We start from the raw sequence: 20,916 nt of genomic DNA, 5'->3' as shown, positions 1-20,916 counted from the left end.
CCAACCTGGTACTGCTTTGCCATGCCCAGATGCCAAGACAGCTGACCTCCGTGTGGACATGGAACTAACTCCTCAAGCCCCTTAGAAGTCACTGCCCATGTTAGGATGGCATAGCCTTTCTCCCTGGGAATGTGATCCATATGTGGCTTGTACAGCTTCCTCGGGTCAGCAGTGTCCACGTGGAACTCCCAGGGGAGGCGTGTGGATGGGGACCTCAGGCAGGGCCGAGCTGTGGCTAGAAGTGAGTGAGGGAGAGATTGTTGGCCAGCCTTGGATAAGCATAATTGTCTCAACATTGCAAGCCAGTGAGGGCCAGTGTTTGGGGTTCAATTGAATGTGGGAAATGCGTAAGTAACCCCCACCCCGTGCTATTTGAAAATCGAAAATCCATCGTATTCGACATTTGCTTTTAAATAGGTCTGTCAGCTTCCCTACCTTTTTTAAAAAAGTTAACTCCACGTTGTGTCTTAAATTTTTTTCTTTTTAAAAGTTTTTAATTGGATGGTTGGTCCTGCCTCAGTGTTTTTTTTTTGTTGTTGTTGTTGTTGTTTTGTTTTGTTTTTCCTGAGTAATGTTCCTTGGTTCAGGTTTGTTGTGGTGAATGTAAGACATTGAACTAAAGTTGTAATTTGTTTGTTTATTCAACAAATATTGATTGAGTACCTTTTAAGTTCTAAGCGTTATTCTGGGGGCTAAGGCTATAGCAGTCAATACGATAGACTAAAAATTCCTAGCCGGTGTGCGGTTTATATTCTACCCAGTCGAGACTGCAGGACTACTTAATACTTTAGGAGGTTTTGTTTTGTTTTGTTTTTAATTAATGGACTTTTATAGCAGTTGTAAGTTTACAGAAATGGAGTGGAAAGTACGGAGAGTTCCCATATGCCCCCGCCATCTCTTCTCTCTCCCCCTCACACACACACACACACACACACCCACCCTGTTTCCCCTATTGTTAACATCTTGCATTAGTGTGGTACATTTGTTACAACTGATGAGTCAATATCGATCCATTATTACTAAAGTTTATAGTTTACATTAGAGTTCAGTCTTGGTTCTGACAAATGTATAATCACATGTGCCCACCATTACAGTGTCATACAGAATAGCTTCACTGACCTAAAAATCTCCTGTGCTGAACCTGCTCATCTCTCTCTACCCAGCCTCTGGCAGTTAAATATTGTTACTGTCTCCATAGTTTTGCCTTTCTCAGAATGTCATACATTTGGAATCATACAATTGGTAGTCTTTTCAGATGGGCATCTTTTACTCAACAATGTGTATTTCCTTAGGAGTTTTGCTGCTGCTCTTGTTTATTTGTGCATCTTAAATGCAGAACATTCTGATAGTTTGGATTGGGTCCTGGGTCATTCATGAGTTGGGTCACTCTAGACTTCACAGAACAGTGGTGGCCAGCTGTTGATCGTACCTAGATTTTTTCGTTTCAGGGATCCGGGGCTTTCAGTTCAATGGGTGTAAGTTGATGGGTGGGAGAACCAAATGGGATCTGCTGTAGCAAGGTCCCTGGGGTTAGGTAGTCTCATGGGGATGGGACATTGGGTCGTCTTTGCAAGGAGTTAATGGAAGCTGTTTGTTGAAGACCCAAAGGGGAGGGTGACCCTAAAGGAAGTGAACGGGTTGGGAGGTTGGTTGACACAGCCCAGTCCTGCCTTTGGAGAGGTTGACCCTGCCTGGCGGAGGCTGTTTATCCCGCCACTGGGCTGCTCTTGTTTTTTATCCAGTCTCCACCTGAATAAACAGATCTGGAACGTCATCTGCAGCCAGGCTGAGAATCTGCCAAAATTCCCCAGGGAACTGGTGATTCACCAGCAGCAGGGGAAGAGAGAGGGAACAAGCAAGAGAGAGAGACCTGCTTATTCTGATTCTCATTTCCTGTCCAGCAAATAACCCAGGCTGGGCTGTTTCTTACGAGACAGCAGTTCTTTGAGTAAATGATCAATTTCTGCAATAGAACAAATGATTTTGATTTTAATTTTTAAGAAGATGGATGTAAAGCAGGCTAGAGGGAAATGGTTTCAACTGTCATTCTGAGAAGGGAGACTTTTATTCAAGTTGGATTAGGAAAGCTCTTCCGCATTCACTTGTTCTTGAAAAATGTCTCATCTTAATTTTCAAGTTCTGTATGGGCATTGGTCCTGGCACAAGTGCATTATCGTAAGCTGTGGACTTTAGCATCAACATTATTTCTTGCCAATTTTGAGACTTAGAATTATTCTTTTTTTTTTGTGATCATTAGGCCCTCACTTATTTTAAAAAATTCTACTGGACACCTGAAGAAGATTAGATTGAGCTTGGCCATGTTCGGTGGCCCCAGGCTATATTCCTAATGTGTTTTTTGGGGAGGGGTCAGAAAGGGGACATATGAGGGCAGTGGCATCTGAGAATGTGGTCAAATGAAGCAGCATGAAACAGGGCACTTGGAGCTAATGGTTTTCAGATTCATTTCAACCCTGGGGGACTTGATTTAAAAGAAAACTACCAGTGTCTGCTAAGGCCAGACATATGCAAGCTCAATGACCTGAGTAGCAATTCCATGCCTGGACATTGCACGCCTGCCAAAAATGCATGCAGACATGCACCAGAAAGCAAGTGCAGAAGACAAGTCCGTGTTCATAGCTGTGATTTTTGCAATAGCCTGAATTGGAAATAACTCAATGTCCGTCAACAATAGAAAGAAAAAATAAATTGCTGTATGTTCTGTCAATAGAAATATCGTACAGTGATAGAAAAGAATTAACTACTGCTAATGCAGCAACCCAGATGGATCTCATAAACAATGTTGAGTGGAAGTAGCCAAATAAAAAAGGGTATGTACAGAACAGTTTTGTGTCTGTACAGCACAGAAATAGGCAGAATTAATTGTGGGTGGTAGAAATTAGAGGTTTCCTTTGGGAGGAATAACAACCAGGAGACAGGAGGAGGGAGGCTTCTGGGTGCGGAAATTTTTCTCTACATTTTGTAAAAATCCTTTATATTTCAATAAAAATGTTTACAAACAAAACAACTGCCAGCATTTGGCCATATGGCCTGTCTGATAGTGCTGCAATTTTAAAAAAAATTTTTTTAAGAGATGAGGGTCTCACTGTGTTGCCCAGGCTGGTCTCGAACTCCTGGCCGCAAGCAGTCCTTCTACTGTTGGCTCCCAAAGTGTTGGGATTACAGGCCAGAGTCACTGTGCCCAGCCTGTGTCTTCTGACAAGGAGAAATCATCACCTTCATGTGTGTTTTTGAAATGGTTAATGTTTTTTGGCATTTGCAGTCATAAAGTACACCTCCTTAGGTAGGCATCAGGGCTGGTGTGCCCTGTACTAAGTTTCATCTTCCGTCAGTAATATGAGGGTCTCAGATAGTCTCACATTGTGTGGATTCCAGGTGTGATATGTTGTTAAGATACACTGTAGCCTCAGAAGGCATATGTGAATGTGTGCACGCCTTCATTCATTTTGATTATTTTGAGTGCGTGCTGTATGTGGGTGGTGACAGTGAGTGTGTGATGCAGAGCCTTGGTAAGAATTCCAGTGCAGCACCATGATGGGCAGAGTGCTGCAGGGTGTGGAGTTTGATGAAACCTGTCTGCCAGGATCACTTTGTTGGGGTAATGGGGGCCGGGGGTGTTAGATTTTTTTTCCCCCCAGTCTAGGGCTAGATTATGTGAAACTTATTTTCTAACCGGAGGTTCAGGCGAAGCAAAGAGCTATTATGTGGATTTCGCTTATTCATTAAGTAAGACGTGTTAAGATTTGATCTTGAAGTAAAACTGTGGTAGATTTGCCATTTCGGTGAGAGTCCACACTCAGATAGTTGACTGTGGACTTTGTGAATCACTGTAATTGTCTGGAAGGGCGGAAGGGCACAGCTTCTTAGATCTTAGGGATGGAGAGCTGGCCAGCTTCAGTATGTTTCAGACTAATTGGCGGAACTGAAACGAGGAAGGATATAGGATATACAGTGTGGATTTCTGTCTTCTGTAAAGTAACCCTGTTTGCCCATCTATCTTCACTGGCTCCAGTAAGGAACCTGGTTGATCTCTTGAGGAACATAACAGTGGTAGAGAGACTTATGTTCCATTTCACTTTCTGAAGAGGTAGAAAAGACATTGGCAGAAAAGACTGTGATTAGTGATGTCTGACATGGGCACTGGAGGGACAATGGGAAAGTTTTCTCTCTGCAGTTAAGAGGTATTTCCTTATTTTGCAGGTGGTTAAACGAGGTAGAGAAAGAGTGATTTATACATGGTTCCAAAATTGCATGACAGCAAGAATTAGAGTCTGGGTCTCTGCACCCCAAGAAACACAAACTGGTTGCCATAGGGTTGACAGGGTCAGCACACCACAGACAGTGGTCCCAATCCTGGCCCACTGCTTGTTTTTGTAAATAAAGTTTTATTGGAACATAGCCACACTCATTCATTTACATATTGTCTGGCTGCTTTTACATTATAACAGCAGAACTGAGTGGTCATGACAGAGACAGTATGACCCACAAAGCCTAAAAATTTACCATCTGGCCCAATGTAGAATAAGTTTGCTGGCCCCTGGTGTAGAAAATAGGTGCATAATTTCAGGGGTCAGAAATTACCCACTTGACCCACCTTGTCCCAACTGCCTTTGATCTCCTTGCCCTTTCTTCCTGGCTGTTATCTGTGACATGAGATCTTTTCCACCACTAACGGGAATACCTTGTAAACCAGGCTTTCACAGAACTGTAGTGGAACAATCACTTATGAGAAAAAGTTTTAAATGTTGGTTTCAAATGCCTCCATCTGTTTCACTGTCTAATTTAACATCAGCTCTGAAAATGTAGCCAACTGGGGAGAGCTTATCTTGCCTGCTTTCCGCCTTTGAAGACTGATTTTATTTTTGAAGCCTTTAACAGGTGTTGGTTTAATAGACTTCTGCTGTATTAAGTTCTCCTCGCTCCAGAGGGCAGCCCAAGGGGTAAACTGACACTGTGGATGGAGGCGAATGCCACGTGACCTGGCCACCACACACTTCCCCCGGTCCCCATAAGTGCAGAATCACTGGTTTTGTCTGGTTGCAGAGAAAGGCTGCGCTGTTCCTTTGATGAGGCCAATAAGAACTGTTCCTAGCACAACACTGTCCTCTTGCCTTGCACCATCCTCACCCTTTTTTGTAAACTTAAGTGGATCCCTTTGCAGCTTACCTTCCCTAACAATAAAGATACTCCTTCCTCCCTCGATGGCAGATCTTTCAAGATCTCAAAGAAACTGCCCTTTTCTTTCCATCCAGAACATTCAAAGTAAAAACTTGAGCTTTATCTGCCTTATTTGCTGAGATTCTGTCACATGAAGTCCTGTGCACATTTGCTTCTCACACAGGACTCTGGGAAGCTTGTATGAGAGCTGGGCCACCTGGCCGAGGCCAAGCTACGTAGAACAGGCTGAGTTGACTGAGAAATGGCCAGCTAATGTTCAGATTTAGCCAAGCTTTGGAAGTTTATGGGTGGAATCTGGGCCAGTGCCCTTAAAGTTCTGCCAGGAGAGCCTCTCGGACGGGCTAGATAGGGTCATGCTTCCCTGGGCTTGCATCCCGGCTCCTCTTGCTTCCCAGCTGTGTGACCTTGGGCAAGCTCCAGCAGACTTCTGAGCCTCAATTTCTTCAATTGCCTAAGTATAGATGCTTCTCAACTGACAATGGAGTTATGTCCAGATAAACCCATCCTAAGTTGAAAATATCATTAAGCAAAAAATGCATTTAATACCTCTAACCTCCTGAATACCACAACCTAGCCTAGTCTACCTTAAATGTGCTCAGAACACTCATATTAGTCCACAGTTGGGCAGAATCATCTAACACAAAGCCCATTTTATAATAAAGTTTTGAATATCTCCTATAATTTATTGAACACTGAGTGGAAAACAGAATGGTTTTATGGGTACTTGAAGTACAATTTCTATTGAATGTGTATAGCTTTTGCACCATTGTGAAGTCCAGAAATCGTTAAGCTGAACCATCGTAAGTCAGGGGCTGCCTATAAAGATAATAGTACCTACCTTGTTAGATTGCTGTGTGATGGCATTGATGCTTTGCCCAGGATCTACTGTGTATATAATAGGTGTTCATTAATTGGTCAGCTGTTGAGAGGCAATAAAAAGAGGTATGGATCTTCTTGGGAACTGTGCAGTTAGTTATGTTAAAGGAGTGAAAATGATGACCACTTGGGTTTGCATGTGGAATTGAAAACATGGATAGTTTCCTGAAGGTGGAATGCCGGGTTGAGCGAGGGCAGCAGACACGTTTCCATGGCATCAACTCTCAGGCAGGAGGTGGGAAGGCTTCCCTGCAGGGGTTTGAATGCCAGCTGTTTACTCTAACCTTCATGGGGGGGAGACCTAGAGAGGGTATCTTAGACCAGCAGGCTACCTCTGGAATGGTGGGGTTGGTGGGGTTTGGTGGGCTTGGGTCAGGGACGTGGCCTCAGTTCCACTTGCTGTGGGAGTGGGGGTGGGGGGTGTCATCCAGATGCTGGGGAATCTGTCAGATGTCTAGCCACCCTGAATCCTGCAGAAGTTGCAGTCTGGGATTTGCTTTGAAACGTGGGGTCTTCCCAGTGGCTGGGTTTGACACTCTCCAGCTGGAGCAGGCTTCTTTTATGCTTGAAGTTAAGAGTGAGAGCTCTGAGTCAGCCCTTCGTTCCTGAGAGGGGAGCCAGAGCTGCTTGTTTGCACTGAAATATGTCAGAAGAGTAGACAAGAACCAGTCATTAATTTTATTCTTTTTTCCAGAGCACCTCCTACAGACTAGATCCTTAGCCTGGCTCTGATGACACAAGCATGACTACTAAAAACAAGAACTCATTTTATTGAGCAGTTGTTACGTGTCAGGTCATATCAGCCCATGGGGCATATGAACTTCACACATCACTTTACAGAGGGGCTCTTCTGAGGTTCACACCTGTGAGTGGGATAGCTGGGATTTGAACCTGGGCAGGAAGACACTCAAGGCATATTGTTCCACAGTGCTGTGCCATGTTCCACAGCAGGAAGAACTCCACATGTGCCTTGGAGACCATGGACAGGACTTACTTGGGAGACACAAGAATCATCATTTGAGATTTAGACAGAGGAGTGCTGTGAACTGAGTCACATTTTGTTTTAATTTGTTTCTTTTGAGATGGAGTTTTGCTCTTGTTGCCCAGGCTGGAGTGCGGTGGCGTGATCTTGGCTCACTACAACCTCTGCCTCCCAGGTTCAAGCAATTCTCCTGCCTCAGCCTCCCGAGTAGCTGGGATTACAGGCATGCGCCACCATGCCCGGCTAATTTTTTATTTTTAGTAGAGACAGGGTTGCTCCATGTTGGTCAGGCTGGTCTCAAAACTCCTGACCTAAGGTGATCCGCCCACCTCAGCCTCCTAAAGTGCTGGGATTACAGGCGTGAGCCACCGTGCCTGGCCTTGTTTTAATTTTAAATTGTGGTAAAGTACACATAACATAAAATTTACCATCTGAAGTATTTTTTAAAATGTGGAGTTCAATGGTGTTAAATGCATTTATGTTGTGCAACCAGTCTCCAGAACTTTTTTCCATCTTGCAAAACTAAAACTTCATACCTATTTGATATGGTTTGGCTGGGATGATGTCTACCCAGATCTCATCTTGAATTGTAACTCCTACAATTCCCATGTGTCATGGGAGGGACCCAGTGGCAGGTGATTGAATTATGAGGGTGGGTCCTTCCTGTGCTGTTCTCATAATAGTGAATGAGTCTCACAAGATCTGATGGTTTTAAAAACTGGAGTTTCCCTGCACAAACTCTCTTTTTGCCTGCTGCCATCCATGTAAGATGTGATTTGTTCCTCCTCGCCTTCTGCCATGATTGTGAGGCCTCTCCAGCCAGGTGGAACTGTGTGTCCAATTAAATCTCTTTCTTTTGTAAATTGCCCAGTCTTTGTGTCTTTATCAGCAGCGTGAAAAATAACTAAGACAGTAAATTGGTACCAGTAGAGTGGGACATTGCTGAAAACATACCTGAAAATGTGGAAGTGACTTTGGAACTGGATAACAGGCAGAGGTTGGAGCACTTTGGAGGGCTCAGAAGGCAGGAAGATGTGGGAAAGTTTGGAACTTCCTAGAGACTTGTTGAATGGCTTTGACAAGAATGCTGATAGTGACATGAACAATAATGTCCAGGCTGAGGTGGTCTCAGATGGAAATGAGGAATTGTTGGGAACTAGAGCAAAGGTGACTCTTGTTATGCTTTAGCAAAGAGACTGGCAGCATTTTGCCCCTGCCCTAGAGATTTGTGGAACTTTGAACTTGAGAGAGATGATTTAGGGTATCTGATGGAATAAATTTCTAAGCAGTAAAGCATTAAAGATGTGACTTGGGTGCTGTTAAAGGCATTCAGTTTCAAAAGGGAAACAGAACATAAAAGTTTGGAAAATTTGCAGCCTGACAATGCAATAGAAAAGAAAATCCCATTTTCTGAGGAGAAATTCAAGCTGGCTGCAGGAATTTGCATAAGTAATGAGGAGCTGAATGTTAATCACCAAGACAATGGGGAATATGTCTCCAGGGCATGTCAGAGATGTTTGCGGCAGCCCCTCCCATCACAGGCCTGGAGGCCTAGGAGGAAAAAGTGGTTTCGTGGGGCAGGCTCAGGGTCCCTGTGCTGTGTGCAGCCTAGAGACATGGTGTCCTGTGTTCCAGCTGCTCCAGCTGTAGCTGAAAGGGGCAACATAGAGCACGGACCATGGCTTCAAAGGGTGGAAGCCCCAAGTCTTGGCAGCTTCCATGTGGTGCTGAGCCTGCAGGTATGCAGAAGTCAACAGTTGAGGTTTGGGAACCTCTGCCTAGATTTCAGAGCATGTATGGAAATGCCTGGATGCCCAGGTAGAAGTTTGCTGCAGGGGCGGGGCCCTCATGAAGAACCTCTGCTAGGGCAGTGTGGAAGGGAAATATGGTGTGGCCCTCATGAAGAATGTCTGCTAGGGCAGTGTGGGATCCCCCACACAGAGTCCCTACTGCGGCACTGCCTAGGGAAGCTGTGAGAAGAGGGCCACTGTCCTCTAGACCCCAGAATGGTAGATCCACTGACAGCTTGCACCGGGCACCTGGAAAAGCCGCAGACACTCAACGCCAGCCTGTGAAAGCAGCTGGGAGGGAGGCTATACCCTGCAAAGCCATAGGGGTGGAGCTTTCCCAAGACCATGGGAACCCACGTCTTGCATCAGCGTGATCTGGATGTGAGACATGACTGCCCCGCTGGATTTTGGACTTGCATGGAGCCTGTAGCCCCTTTGTTTTGGTCAATTTCTCCCAGTTGGAATGGCTATATTTACCCAATACTGATACCCCTATTGTATCTATGAAGTAACTAGCTTGCTTTTGATTTTACAGGTTCATAGGCAGAGGGACTTGCATTGTCTCAGAAGAGACTTTGGACTGTGGACTTTTGAGTTAATGCTGAAATGAGTTAAGACTTTGGGGGACTGTTGGGAAGGCATGATTGGTTTTGAAATGTGAGGATGTGAGATTTGGGAGGGGCCAGGGGCAGAATGATATGGTTTGGCTGTGTCCCCACCCAAATCTCATCTTGAATTGACTCCCACAATTCCTATGTGTCATAGGAGGGTCCCAGTGGGAGGTGATTGAGTTATGGGGGCAGGTTTTTCCTATGCTGTTCTCATGATAGTGAATGAGTCTCATAAGACCTGATGGTTTTAAAAACAGGAGTTTCCCTGCACAAGCCCTTTTTTTTGCCTGCTGCCATCCATGTAAGACATACTTGCTCTTCTTTGCCTTCTGCCATGATTGTGAGGCCTCCCCAGCCACGTGGAACTGTGAGTCCAATTAAACCTCTTTCTTTCATAAATTGCCCAGTCTCAGGTATGTCTTTATCAGCAGCATGAAAATGGACTAATACACCGTTAAACAACAGATCTTCCTTCTGCGGTCTCCCCGGTCCCTGGACACCACCATTCTACTTTCTGTTTCAGTGGATCTGACTACTCTAGCTACCTCACATAAGTGGACCATACAGCATTTGTCTTTTTGTGACAGGCATCTTTCACTTGGCATCATGTCCGCAATGCTCATCCATTCAGTAGCACGTGTTAGAATTTCTTTTCTTTTTAAGGCTGAGTAATATCTCATTGCATGTATATACAACATTGATGGACATTTGGGCTGTTCCACCTTTGGCTGTGGTGAGTGATGCTTCTATGAATGTGAGGATACACATGTCTCTTTGAGGTCTGCTTTCAGTTATTTAGATATGCAGAAGTGGAATTGTGGGATCATATGGTGTGCCTCTGTTTAATTTTTTGAGGAATCTCCATAATGTCTTCTTCTGCAGGTGCACCACCGTTTTACATTTCTACCACTGGCATACAGGGTTTCACTCTCTCCACATCCTCACCCACACTTGTTATTTTCTGTTTGTTTTTTTGTTTTGTTTTGTTTTAATAGTGGCCATCCTAGTGGGTGTGAGGTGACTTCTCATTGTGGTTGTGGTTTACATTTCCCTAATGAATGGTGATGTTGATCATCTTCTCATGTGCTTCTTGGCCATTTGTGTGTTTTCTTTGGAACAATGTTCAATTCTTGGCTCATTTTAAAAATCAGGTTGGTTGTTTTTTGTTGTTGTTGTAGAGGTTCTTTATATCTGGATATTAGCCCCTTATCAGAAATGTGATTTGCATATATTTTCTCTTATTCCGTGGGATGCCTGAAGTGACTTATTTTTAGCGGGTCTCTCTGGCTGCTGGGTTGGGAATAGACTGTAAGTGGGCAAGGATGGAAGGGAAGGTCTAGTCAGTAGCCCATGGGCATGGTTATCTTCCATTTCCAAGCTAGAACATTTTGAATCATTATTGATGCCCCTAGTTGTCATCTCCAGCCCCCACCAGGGCAGGGTGTTTCAAGGTAGGATGCTGAAGTTGGGAGGAGACAGGTGGGGAGAGGCCAGCAGCTTTGATCAGAGGGTGGAGCTGGTAGGGTGGGTAGGACCTAATCAGAGGGTCTCTTGTGCCTGTCTCTGTATTGCCGCCATCTCTCTCCTGGCCCACTGTGGCATCCATTCCCAACTTGTTAGCTTGGGCTGCGAGGCATTTGCTGTTGTGGTCCTGCCCACCCTACTAGCTCTGCAATCTGATCCAAGCTCCTGGCTTCTGCCTACCTGTCTCCTCCTGGCCTCAGCATCCTACCCTCAGACATTCGCCCTGGCACCTTGTGCACTCCCTTGCTCCTCTCACAGACCCTGCCACTGTGGCCCTCACTCCCACACACCCTTGTCTCCCATCTCCACGGCTGCCTCTTCTGCCAAATGGGGAACTTTCCCAGCGGGTGAAAGAGACTTGTCTTCTGCACAGGGTCCTTTATGCAGAGTGGGGCCCGGATTGTGTTTGATTCAGCGAATGAAAAGACTGACAAGGAGCAAAAGGTACCGGACCACAGACAAAGACTGAGGAGACAGAGGAGGAGGTGGGGAGAGGACAGAACTGGCGTGGGAGAGATGTTGGGCCTGCAGCTGTCCCACGGCTTCGCAATGTAAGGCCTCACCCCCTCTTTGTGCCTTTCTGGGCCGGTGGCGCCCGGCCCTTCTGTCCAGCACAGACCCTTTTCCTGGCGCCCTGATACCACATTCACAGTTCCCGGATAAGACTCAGCTCTGTCGCCTTTATTTCTTGTTTCTTTTCTTCCCATACTTTACATAATAAAGGTTTTCTTTTCTTTTTTCCTTTGGAGCCAGAAAACTGAGGAGACTATCTTTATTAAAGAACTTAATAAAGAACTCAAAGGAAGTGGCTTTGGGGGCTGGGGAGGAGAGGAAGGGAAAGGGTCCTTTCATGCCGGGGAGGTTCTGTGTGCAGAGTTGCACCCTTGGAAATGGACTTTCGAGTTCAGGGCCTGGGAGACGCATGAAAAAAACAAAGGAGTCCACGAGAAGCCCCAGAGCTTCTGGGAAAGAGGTCCTTGTTTATGCCTGTTGGAACTGATTCGGTCAAGTGTTTGTTTAAAGGAGATGCCACTTGGTAAGCGACGCCTGGCTTACTTGTGTTGTGTTCAAGAATGCTTTGATTGGCCAGAGATGCTGACACTGTTTATTCAGAACTGGCTCGAGTGCCAGTGCCTGCAACCTAGAGGCCCAGCGCCACCACCCAGCAGATTCCTAAGTGTCTAATATTGGAGTGAGGGCTGCAGTGGTTTGACTCTGCCAGGCGGCGCCAAACCCACAACAGGGCGGTTAGCTACCTCTAGCCTTGGCTAGCATTCGTCTTTCTCTTGACTTATAACTGTTGCTTGTTTATATAGTGGGTTTGACAGAAAGTAGATTAAAGGTGCGCACAGGCCAGCTGTGGTGGCTCACGCCTGTAATCCCAACATTTTGGGAGGCCAAGGCGGGTGGATCATGAGGTCAGGAGATCGAGACCATCCTGGCCAACACGGTGAAACCTTGTCTCTACTAAAAAAAATTAAAAAATTAGCTGGGTGTGGTGGCACGTGCCTGTAATCCCAGCGATCTGGGAGGCTGAGGCAGAAGAATCGCTTGAACCCAGGAGGCGGAGGTTGCAGTGAGCCAAGATGGCGCCACTGCACTCCAGCCTGGCGACAGAGCGAGACTCTGTCTCAAAAACAAAAACAAAAACAAAACAAAAAAAAAACACAAGTTACAGTGGAACATTCCTGTCTTGGGAGGTGGTGACCACTAAACATTTACCTTCAGATTTGCCACATGCTTTATGTGGTTTTAGGCTGGATCGTCCCTATCCCTGAAGTGATGGGTTGTGGCCCCATCTTCCAAATGAGAAAACCGAGGCACAATGCTTAATATTAATGGTAGAGTCGGGAGGTTCAGGGAACTCAATTTCAGTTAGACTCAGCAGTGAGCTCCTCTTTCCCATTTTACATTGTCAGGATTTTGTCGTAATCTTTTTTTTTTTTTCTTTTTCTTTTTGTTTAAATCCTCTGTGTCTGGTATATGGTAGGTGTTGGTAAAATGTGAGGTGTGTAATGATGTGTTAAACTGGATTAAAGTGAACTCTGGGCTGTGGTGCCTATGGCTCTTGTAAGTTATGAGGCTGGACTAGGTCTGAGGATGATGGGTGAGAGTTGGACTGGAGCTGTCTGGCTGCACAGGACAGGGCACATCCTTTATGGTGAGTGCATCCGTGGATTCTGGTCAGGTCATGCTGGTCTCACATGGTCTTCAGTGTCACTGCTGTGTTGTTGCCCTTGGAGAGGGAAGCCTAGGGATAGAACTTTGATAAACTTGTCCCAGATTGAAAATCCAATATTCTCCTAGCATCTGGCCAGCAGGTAATAACTTGATGGGAAAAGAAACAGGAGATCTCATTTTTAAGAGCGTCACTGCATTGTAGTTATATTGGTGGGGGGTGGGGTGCAGGAATACTAGTTTCTTGTAGTTACTTTGCAAAAAGAGATGCTCAAGTCACCTCCCTTGTTGTGTTTCAGGCAGCACAACAAGATTCGCAGCGTGGAGGGGAGCCAGCTGAAGGCCTACCTTTCCTTAGAAGTGTTAGATCTGAGTTTGAACAACATCACGGAAGTGCGGAACACCTGCTTTCCACACGGACCGCCTATAAAGGAGCTGTAAGTGCCTCTGTTCTGCCACCTGTGGCTGGCCCGCTGTGTCCAGCCAGCTAACAGCTTCACCGGCACCCAGTTCTGGATGCAGGAGGGATGCTTCCTTCCCTTCTCAACCACGGCTGGGCCGAGTCAGTGGGGATGGTTCAGACCTTCCCTGAGCAGGGCAGGGGCGAGCCCCATGCATAGAGCACGTCCAGATCCTGCAGCATTATCCTGACATTACAGACAGACAAGGGACAGAGGCAGGAAGGACTCAGCACTCCAAGACGAGAGTCTAGGACTCAAGAACAGATCGATCTTGACCACAAAGCCTGCTTTTTTTCCCATTTCCTTGGCTGCCTCTCAGAAATGCTTCCAGAGGAGATTCAGGGAGGATGGTTAGAGGATTCACATTGGAAGCCTGTCTAACAGGGCTTAGCTTATCAGTGCTTATCTTTCTAGTGTCATGCACTGTAAAACAAGTCATTGGGTTTGTTTGGGGGAGGGCAGTTACTCTATTATGTGGGTTTTCAGCACCTTTTAGATTTGTCTGTTTCTCTTACCCATATTAATGTCCCATCTCACACACAATGGATGGTAGACAGGAAGGAAAAAAAGTTAAAACCTACTTAATCAACTACTTGTTGGTAGGAAAAGTGTTACTCTGGGAAAGAAACTGCAACCCCAGGCTAAAGAGACGTTTTCCAATTCCAGGTGAGTTTTCATTCCGTGTGTCATTACTGTTCCAGAGTTAACTTTGGAACGCATTCGCAAGGCTGGTTTAGGGGTCATTGTGACCCATCTTTTCAGGGAGGGTGAGGTTTGGCACATGGATTTTCCAAGTAAATACTGCAAGAAGAAGAGTGATTTCTTTCTTAGCCTGCATTAGGGCGCCAGAGTTGGGAACAGGAGGCCTTGGCTTTTGTGAAGCCTCCAGTGTGGGCCCTCAAAAGGTGTCCACGTGACACCACTTTGCTTGGGACAGAGAAACCATAACTGCTACACTAAGTTGCTCTGACCTCTCCCTGCACAAAAGTGGGAGGGACTTTCTATTTTGGCAGCTATTGGGTGATATATCTTCATCACACAGGCTGTTCTTTAATCTGAGGTGTTGAGAACAAACAGTCCAGCCCCATTTGCAAAGAATCCTTATGTGCCTTGTCCTAGGCCACTATCTGCTGGAGAGACAAAAAGTGCCTTGCTCCCTTCCACCCTCTGTGGCAGAAAATCCTCTCTGGTCTTTCTCCTTTTCACTTAGGCCAGAAAAAGCAGCATTTGTTTGGGGAAGGCAGAGGAGAGGTGTTGGAAACCACTTCTCACAGGAATGCCATATTGTTCTTCCTTGTACTTTCTTTTCTTTTTTATTACTTGATATAATTTGCATACAGCAAGATGCACAGATCTGAGCTGCAGACTTCTGTGCCTTTTGAGAAGCGGTGTCTGCCTTTTTGTATTGTCACGGGAGATGCCCCGACTTAATCACGCTGTAAGTGTAGGTACCATGACATATTGCTTGTTTTACGAAGGGATTCTGCACAGGTCTCTTCAGCTAGAGTGTTTCTTTGAGGCATTTACAATTACAGAAATGAATTGGTTTATACATATGTGTTATGTAGTTCATATAGCAAGACCCACCTCAAAACTAAAGGCTATTTCTCTAAATTATTAAATTAACACTGACCTTGCCTTTCAGTTGATTTTCTGCTTTCTAGGAGTTTTCACGTCAACCTTGGGCACTGGGTGGTGAGAAGAGTCCTGCAGGTGGCTCCTGACGCAGGGCTGGTGTGTCAGTGGGCATGGGGGTGTTTGACTTTCACTCCCACCCTCTTGGGGTGGCCCAGCAGCTTCAAGGACAGTATGCTTTCGACTAAATCGGCCTTGCCCTCAGGGCTTAGGTGCACAGTCCTAACACCTGCATCTCTCTAGCTCCCCATCCAAAGCCTGTGGCTGATAAACATCTCACTGGAAACCTGTCCCTCTGGTGTCTTAACTCATCTTCCCAACTCAGACCCAGAGAGGTCTGGTGTCTATAATGAAATGAGGAAGGCCTTTGACCAACCACCACATTTTCTTTTCTGAATCATTCCAGCAACCTGGCAGGCAATCGGATTGGCACCCTGGAGTTGGGAGCATTTGATGGTCTGTCACGGTCGCTGCTAACTCTTCGCCTGAGCAAAAACAGGATCACCCAGCTTCCTGTAAGAGCATTCAAGCTACCCAGGCTGACACAACTGTGAGTACAGAAACCTACACTTTAATTAAGGCTAGCCAAACTTTATGGAGGCCAGATTTCCCCAAGGACCTCGTACCAAACGCCACCCTTTCCTTGCTCCATTTGGTAAAGCTCTCCATAAATTACCATTAATGGCAGCACCTCATAAAAGCAAATTCGGAGCTGGGTCTGGTGCTGTGGCTGCTTCAGGTTGCTGAGAAAGACATCCACTGAGGTCGCTTTTCTTCCCTGATGTTTTCCAAAATGGAATCAGGAGTCCTGCTGCTTAGCTGATGCTGGCTAATGCTGAGGCTGCATGGGTTTGGGTTCTTATTTATCTTAGATGTTTTTCTGTATTTTTTTAAGATACCCGTAAAATCTGTACCTTGGACATGGTGGTGTCCGACACTTCTTGAACAGTTTGAGAGGAAGTTAGTGTAGCTGGAGTTAGTAAGCAAAAGACAAGCCTTTGTCTTCATATCTTTAATCTTACAAGGTAGTTGATTTATTATTATTATTATTTATTTATTTATTATTATTTTTTTTTGCGACAGTCTCGCTCTGTCCCCCAGGTGGGGTGCAGTGGTGTGATCTCAGCTCACTGCAAGCTCCGCCCCCGGGGTTCACACCATTCTCCTGCCTCAGCCTCCAGAGCAGCTGGGACTACAGGCACCCACCACCATGCCTGGCTAATTTTTTGTATTTTTAGTAGAGATGGGGTTTCACCTTGTTACCCAGGATGGTCTCGATCTCCTGACCTCGTGATCCGCCTGCCTTGGCCTCCCAAAGTGCTGGGATTACAGGCATGAGCCACCGCACCCGGCCGATTTATTATTTTTGTAAACAATTTAATTGTTTAGTTTACTGATGGAAGGCTGAGTACCCTTCTAGAAGGCAGAGTTTTAGATTCAAGTAAAGCTCTGTTAACCAGAGCCTGACGAAGGACTTTTTTTCCCTGATTTTTTTTTTTCCTGTGCCCTCTTTTTAGCAGAAGAATGTATTTCAGGAAAATAAGACAGTATTGGAAATTTTGTTTCAACAAAACAAAATAATTGTCGAGGGCCAGGTTGGCGGCACGACGGGGTGTGCCTGGCTCTCATCCTACCTGGGTTTCACCTCCCCTGGGTGGGGAGTCCTAGACTTTGCCATTTTCAGTCTGTGGAGAAGGTCTCAGTGATTCCTGAGAAGGTTTGTGTGGGGCAGCATCATGAGACACTGCAGAAATATTTGGGGAAAACCAAGGGCTTTCTGGCTGCTCTGCCTCCCCTTCCCGCAGGGGTGCTAATGGATCTGGCCCACCCAGATTCCTGACATCTTTTGGTGAACTGAGGCTTTGTCATACTGGGGCTAGAAGCCAAGTGTATATGACTTGTGGGGTGTCTCTACCCCATCTCCCCCTGCCCCCATGTGCAGTAACTTCTCTCCATAGTGGAGATGCTGTGAAATGCCCCCAGTGGAAAGTGTTATTGCCATTTGATACATAGTGGTTTGGTTTTTCCTGGGTTGAGGCATGTGGTGTGGATTTCTGTTGCTGAGCTCAGAGATACCTCACATAAGACATTCACCCCTTGAGTCATACCCACGTCCTCACTGCAGAGTCACAAATGGCACTGGTGCTACTGGGGGAGGAGACGTGAGCACACACGCGTTCTCTTCTGTGCAGCTGTGGGCCAGCCTCGGAGCTGGCTGTGGAGAGCTGGCCTCACTCACCCCTCTTGCCTGCACTAGGTGTGGTCAGGTGGCAGCATCAGTGCCTGCATGGCAGCCGAGACACATGGTGGGCTCCCCTACACATCCTGGCTTCCCAGGGATCCCTGCACTGGGATTTCTCCTCTGGCTTGGAAACTTAGCCAGGACTGCTTCAGAATGGTTGTGGGTGGGATATGCACATAAGACACTCTGACCCTGCTGGCTTCATCTCTTTAGGGACCTCAATCGGAACAGGATTCGGCTGATAGAGGGCCTCACCTTCCAGGGGCTCAACAGCTTGGAGGTGCTGAAGCTTCAGCGAAACAACATCAGCAAACTGACAGATGGGGCCTTCTGGGGACTGTCCAAGATGCATGTGCTGTAAGTGCGGACCAGGTTACTGGCATTGCTAAGGATTGCTGTGCGGTGTGGTGTGATGTGGCGTGTGTGTGTGTGCGCATGCATGTGCGCACCAACACCAACGTTGCTGTGTGTTGGGTGTGTGCGCCCACACCAGCATTGCTGTGTGGTGTGGGGTGTGTGTGCGTGCGCGTGTGCACGTGCGCGCCCACACCAGCATTCAGCTGTGCACTGGGCATGGAGTGGGGCACCAGTGCCCAGCCCCTCTCTCCTGAAGGATTCTTCAAGACTTCAGCCGGACCCAGCCCCCTTCCCTTTGCAGCTTCACCTGGGCCCAACTCATTGTCTTGGGGACCGGGCCAAACCTGAGGGTATTTTCCTAGCAGATTGGGACATCCACTGAAATCCACTTGGGGGAAGTTTCAGCGGATTGAGTCAGATAAGTTGGTTGATGGAGATGGAGTTTGGGGGCCATTCTGCCAGGACTGCTTTCCACAGCTTGCATCCACTGCCCCCGCCCCTGCTTCTTCGGTGAACGTGGGGCTGCGGAACAGACCCCTCCTCACATCCTCTCCACTCCTGACCACAGGAAGTTCCTTCTCTCCCCTTCTGGGTTTGACAGTCTTTCCTGAGGTGCAGGTGGGCCAAAAATGTAGAGCTCATCTTAGGAGGTTTATTTCTGTCTTGTGAGCTAATCAAGACACTGGGTGCAGATGTTTAAGTTTTATCAAGGGAGCAGTCTCTTCAGCCAGATGTGTACAGCAGCAGAAGGGGCTTGCCTGCACGGTAACGTGAAACAGCAGGGCAGCATACAGAAAAGGCTTTTTAAACGTTGAAAGCCTTTTTAAACGTTAATATTTATTTTTAATCAAAAGTAATTTGACTGTATAGTTAAATAAAATCAGATAGTAAAGAAAAGCCATCACTGCCCACCCCAGCCTCCCCCGCCACCACCCCCTCATTCTCTCTTCACCCCAGTTCTTCTCCCAAGAGGCAAGCACTTCTAAGCCTTTCTCTTTTTCGTTTTTCTGTTTTTAGCTTTGCTGGTTGTTCCTTCCAAGTTGATAGACTGACACCACTGTCTTTACTTATCCACTTGCGATTTCCTCCTTGAGAGTCAATGATTTAACTTGCTCATGTCCGCCCCTTCTTCTTCCAGTCTGGGCAAATTATATCATGACTCGAATGTCCTTTACTGGTTTTCTTGGCAGTGGAAACGAGCTAGGCCCAGGTCCATCCACATGTTGTGCTGTGTCACTCTGATAACCGTCTCTGCATGACCAGCCCTCCCTACTCTGTGAACAGTGAGGATGTTTCCTGCCGCTGGGCTTCTTGCTCTACCCATTCTCCACCCTTTGTTTTACATATTCAAAAACGTTTCACTTGACCTCCTTAGGCATGTCATTTTGGACTTGGAAGTCCAAGGTGGTCATGTGCTGGGTGGACTGAAGTTAAAAGAGAATTCTCAGAGGAAAATGGAGTTAGCACCTACCATTTGGTTTTTATGTTGAACAGATTTGTATAAATTGAGACTGATGAGCTGCCTTAGAGGTTATTTATACATTAAGTGCTTACCTTTTGAGCAGTAGCAGAAAGAAAGATGGAAAAAAGCAAAACTCAGTTACCCAAAGCCCTTGTAATACTGAACACGGAGCAAAATTCGGGTTACGGACTTTTGTTGAAGAGGCGGTTGCCTGGGCTGGCGCTGTCCTTCCTGGCACATGCTGTGTTGGGAAGCGGGGTGCTAGCACACTTACACGGTGGGCCTGAGAGCTCAGGCCTAGAGCTGCACTGAATCCTGATGTACCCTTGTTTCCTTCTTATAGTGACCCCATGGAGTCAGTGCTCTTGGATATCTCCATGTTAGTAGATGTGCAGGTTTATTCAGCCAGCAAGCTGCAAAATTAGGATTTAAATCCAGGTAGTCTGACGCCAGAGCTAAAGCGGGTCTCCTAGCACAGTGGCACAGAGTCCAGCCTTTGGTAGGCAGACCCAGGGTTGAATTAATTCTAGCCCCTTCCCTACTGGCTAAGCTGTGTAAAGTCTTAGACAGGTTACCTGGCTTCTCTCAGCAGCACATTCCTCATGTGTGAGATGCGGGTGATAATAAGAGCCGCCTCCTATTCGCTCTCCTTTCTATTCCTTTAATGGGCTTTGCCCTTGCCTGGAACTCCTGTGCCCGTTTGTTGGCCTGGGTCACTTTTTGTTTTGTTTTTGGTAGAGATGGGGTTTCGCTATATTGCCCTTGCTGGTCTCGAACTCCCGAGCTCAAGCGATCCTCCTTCTTCGGCCTCCCCAAGTACTGGATGGGCATAAGCCGCCACACCCAGCCCTGGTTCACTTTTACTCAGCCAAAAAAGTCACTTCTAGGAAGCTCCCTCTTGCCCTATGAACACTCGAGTCGGCCTTGGCATGTGCTGTCATCCATTTTGATTTGCCTGTCTTCTCCCAGCCCCTACTCACATGCACATGTGTGCGACTAGACTCCACAGTTCTGTCGTGCACTGTTCTAGCCTTGGTGTGACCGCAGTGTCAGGTACAGCGTGGCTGCTCATTTGCTGTCTGTCCAGTGAAGGGAGTGAAAGCTCCTCTTCATCCTGTGCATGGCTGTCATTGCAGGCACCTGGAGTACAACAGCCTGGTAGAAGTGAACAGCGGCTCGCTCTACGGCCTCACGGCCCTGCATCAGCTCCACCTCAGCAACAATTCCATCGCTCGCATTCACCGCAAGGGCTGGAGCTTCTGCCAGAAGCTGCATGAGTTGTAAGTGTCCTCGGCTCTGGGCTGTGGCAGTGTTTTTAGACACTGCTTGGAGGTGAAAGTGCTAGGCCTGGTTCGTTCCACCACACAGTGGCCTCGGGGAGGGCTCAGAGACAGGCCAGTAGCCCTGTTCCCAAACCAGCCAGGCCCAGGGTGGAACCCTCAGCGATTTGAGCCCCAGTCCCTTCCTCATCTCCCCTTCACTTCCTCTGCATTTGGATTAGCAGGGGCTCCAGGAGTAGCAGCTAGGTCCCTGCAGGGAGCCTTGGCCCCCAAGGTCCTGTTGGGTTTGGAGACAGTTCCAGGGGTAGAAAGTTCCTGGGGA

General features: G+C 46.9%; 1 protein-coding gene across 7 annotated transcripts in view, besides 1 other annotated feature; it reads left to right on the top strand.

Annotated features, from left to right (window-relative positions):
• LRIG1 (leucine rich repeats and immunoglobulin like domains 1) overlaps positions 1-20,916 on the top strand; it is a 122,325-nt gene that overhangs the window by 70,399 nt on the left and 31,010 nt on the right. For 4 of the 7 annotated variants that reach the window (NM_001377345.1, NM_001377344.1, NM_015541.3 and 1 more), the window contains 4 exons: positions 13,457-13,594; positions 15,660-15,803; positions 17,709-17,852; positions 20,451-20,594. In NM_001377345.1, coding sequence (NP_001364274.1) covers positions 17,842-17,852; positions 20,451-20,594 — 155 coding nt within the window. In that variant the 5' untranslated portion in view covers positions 13,457-13,594; positions 15,660-15,803; positions 17,709-17,841. Of the gene's footprint in view, positions 1-13,456; positions 13,595-15,659; positions 15,804-17,708; positions 17,853-20,231; positions 20,251-20,450; positions 20,595-20,916 lie in introns of those variants that run through there. The other 3 variants (XM_047447939.1, XM_011533578.3, XM_017006135.2) reach the window with 2 other exon arrangements.
• Positions 8,241-8,766: an enhancer, noted in NCBI's record as "NANOG hESC enhancer chr3:66472381-66472906 (GRCh37/hg19 assembly coordinates)". NCBI's record gives its function as "activates a minimal SCP1, AML or CMV promoter by ChIP-STARR-seq in naive H9 embryonic stem cells {active_cell/tissue: H9 hESC(naive)}" and the evidence as "EXISTENCE:reporter gene assay evidence [ECO:0000049][PMID:30033119]".

The sequence above is a fragment of the Homo sapiens genome, chromosome 3 (assembly GCF_000001405.40).
Source record: "Homo sapiens chromosome 3, GRCh38.p14 Primary Assembly".
In the NCBI taxonomy this organism is placed as follows: domain Eukaryota; kingdom Metazoa; phylum Chordata; class Mammalia; order Primates; family Hominidae; genus Homo; species Homo sapiens.
Note: the sequence above shows the minus strand (reverse complement) of the source record. Positions and strands in the feature narration are given on the sequence as shown.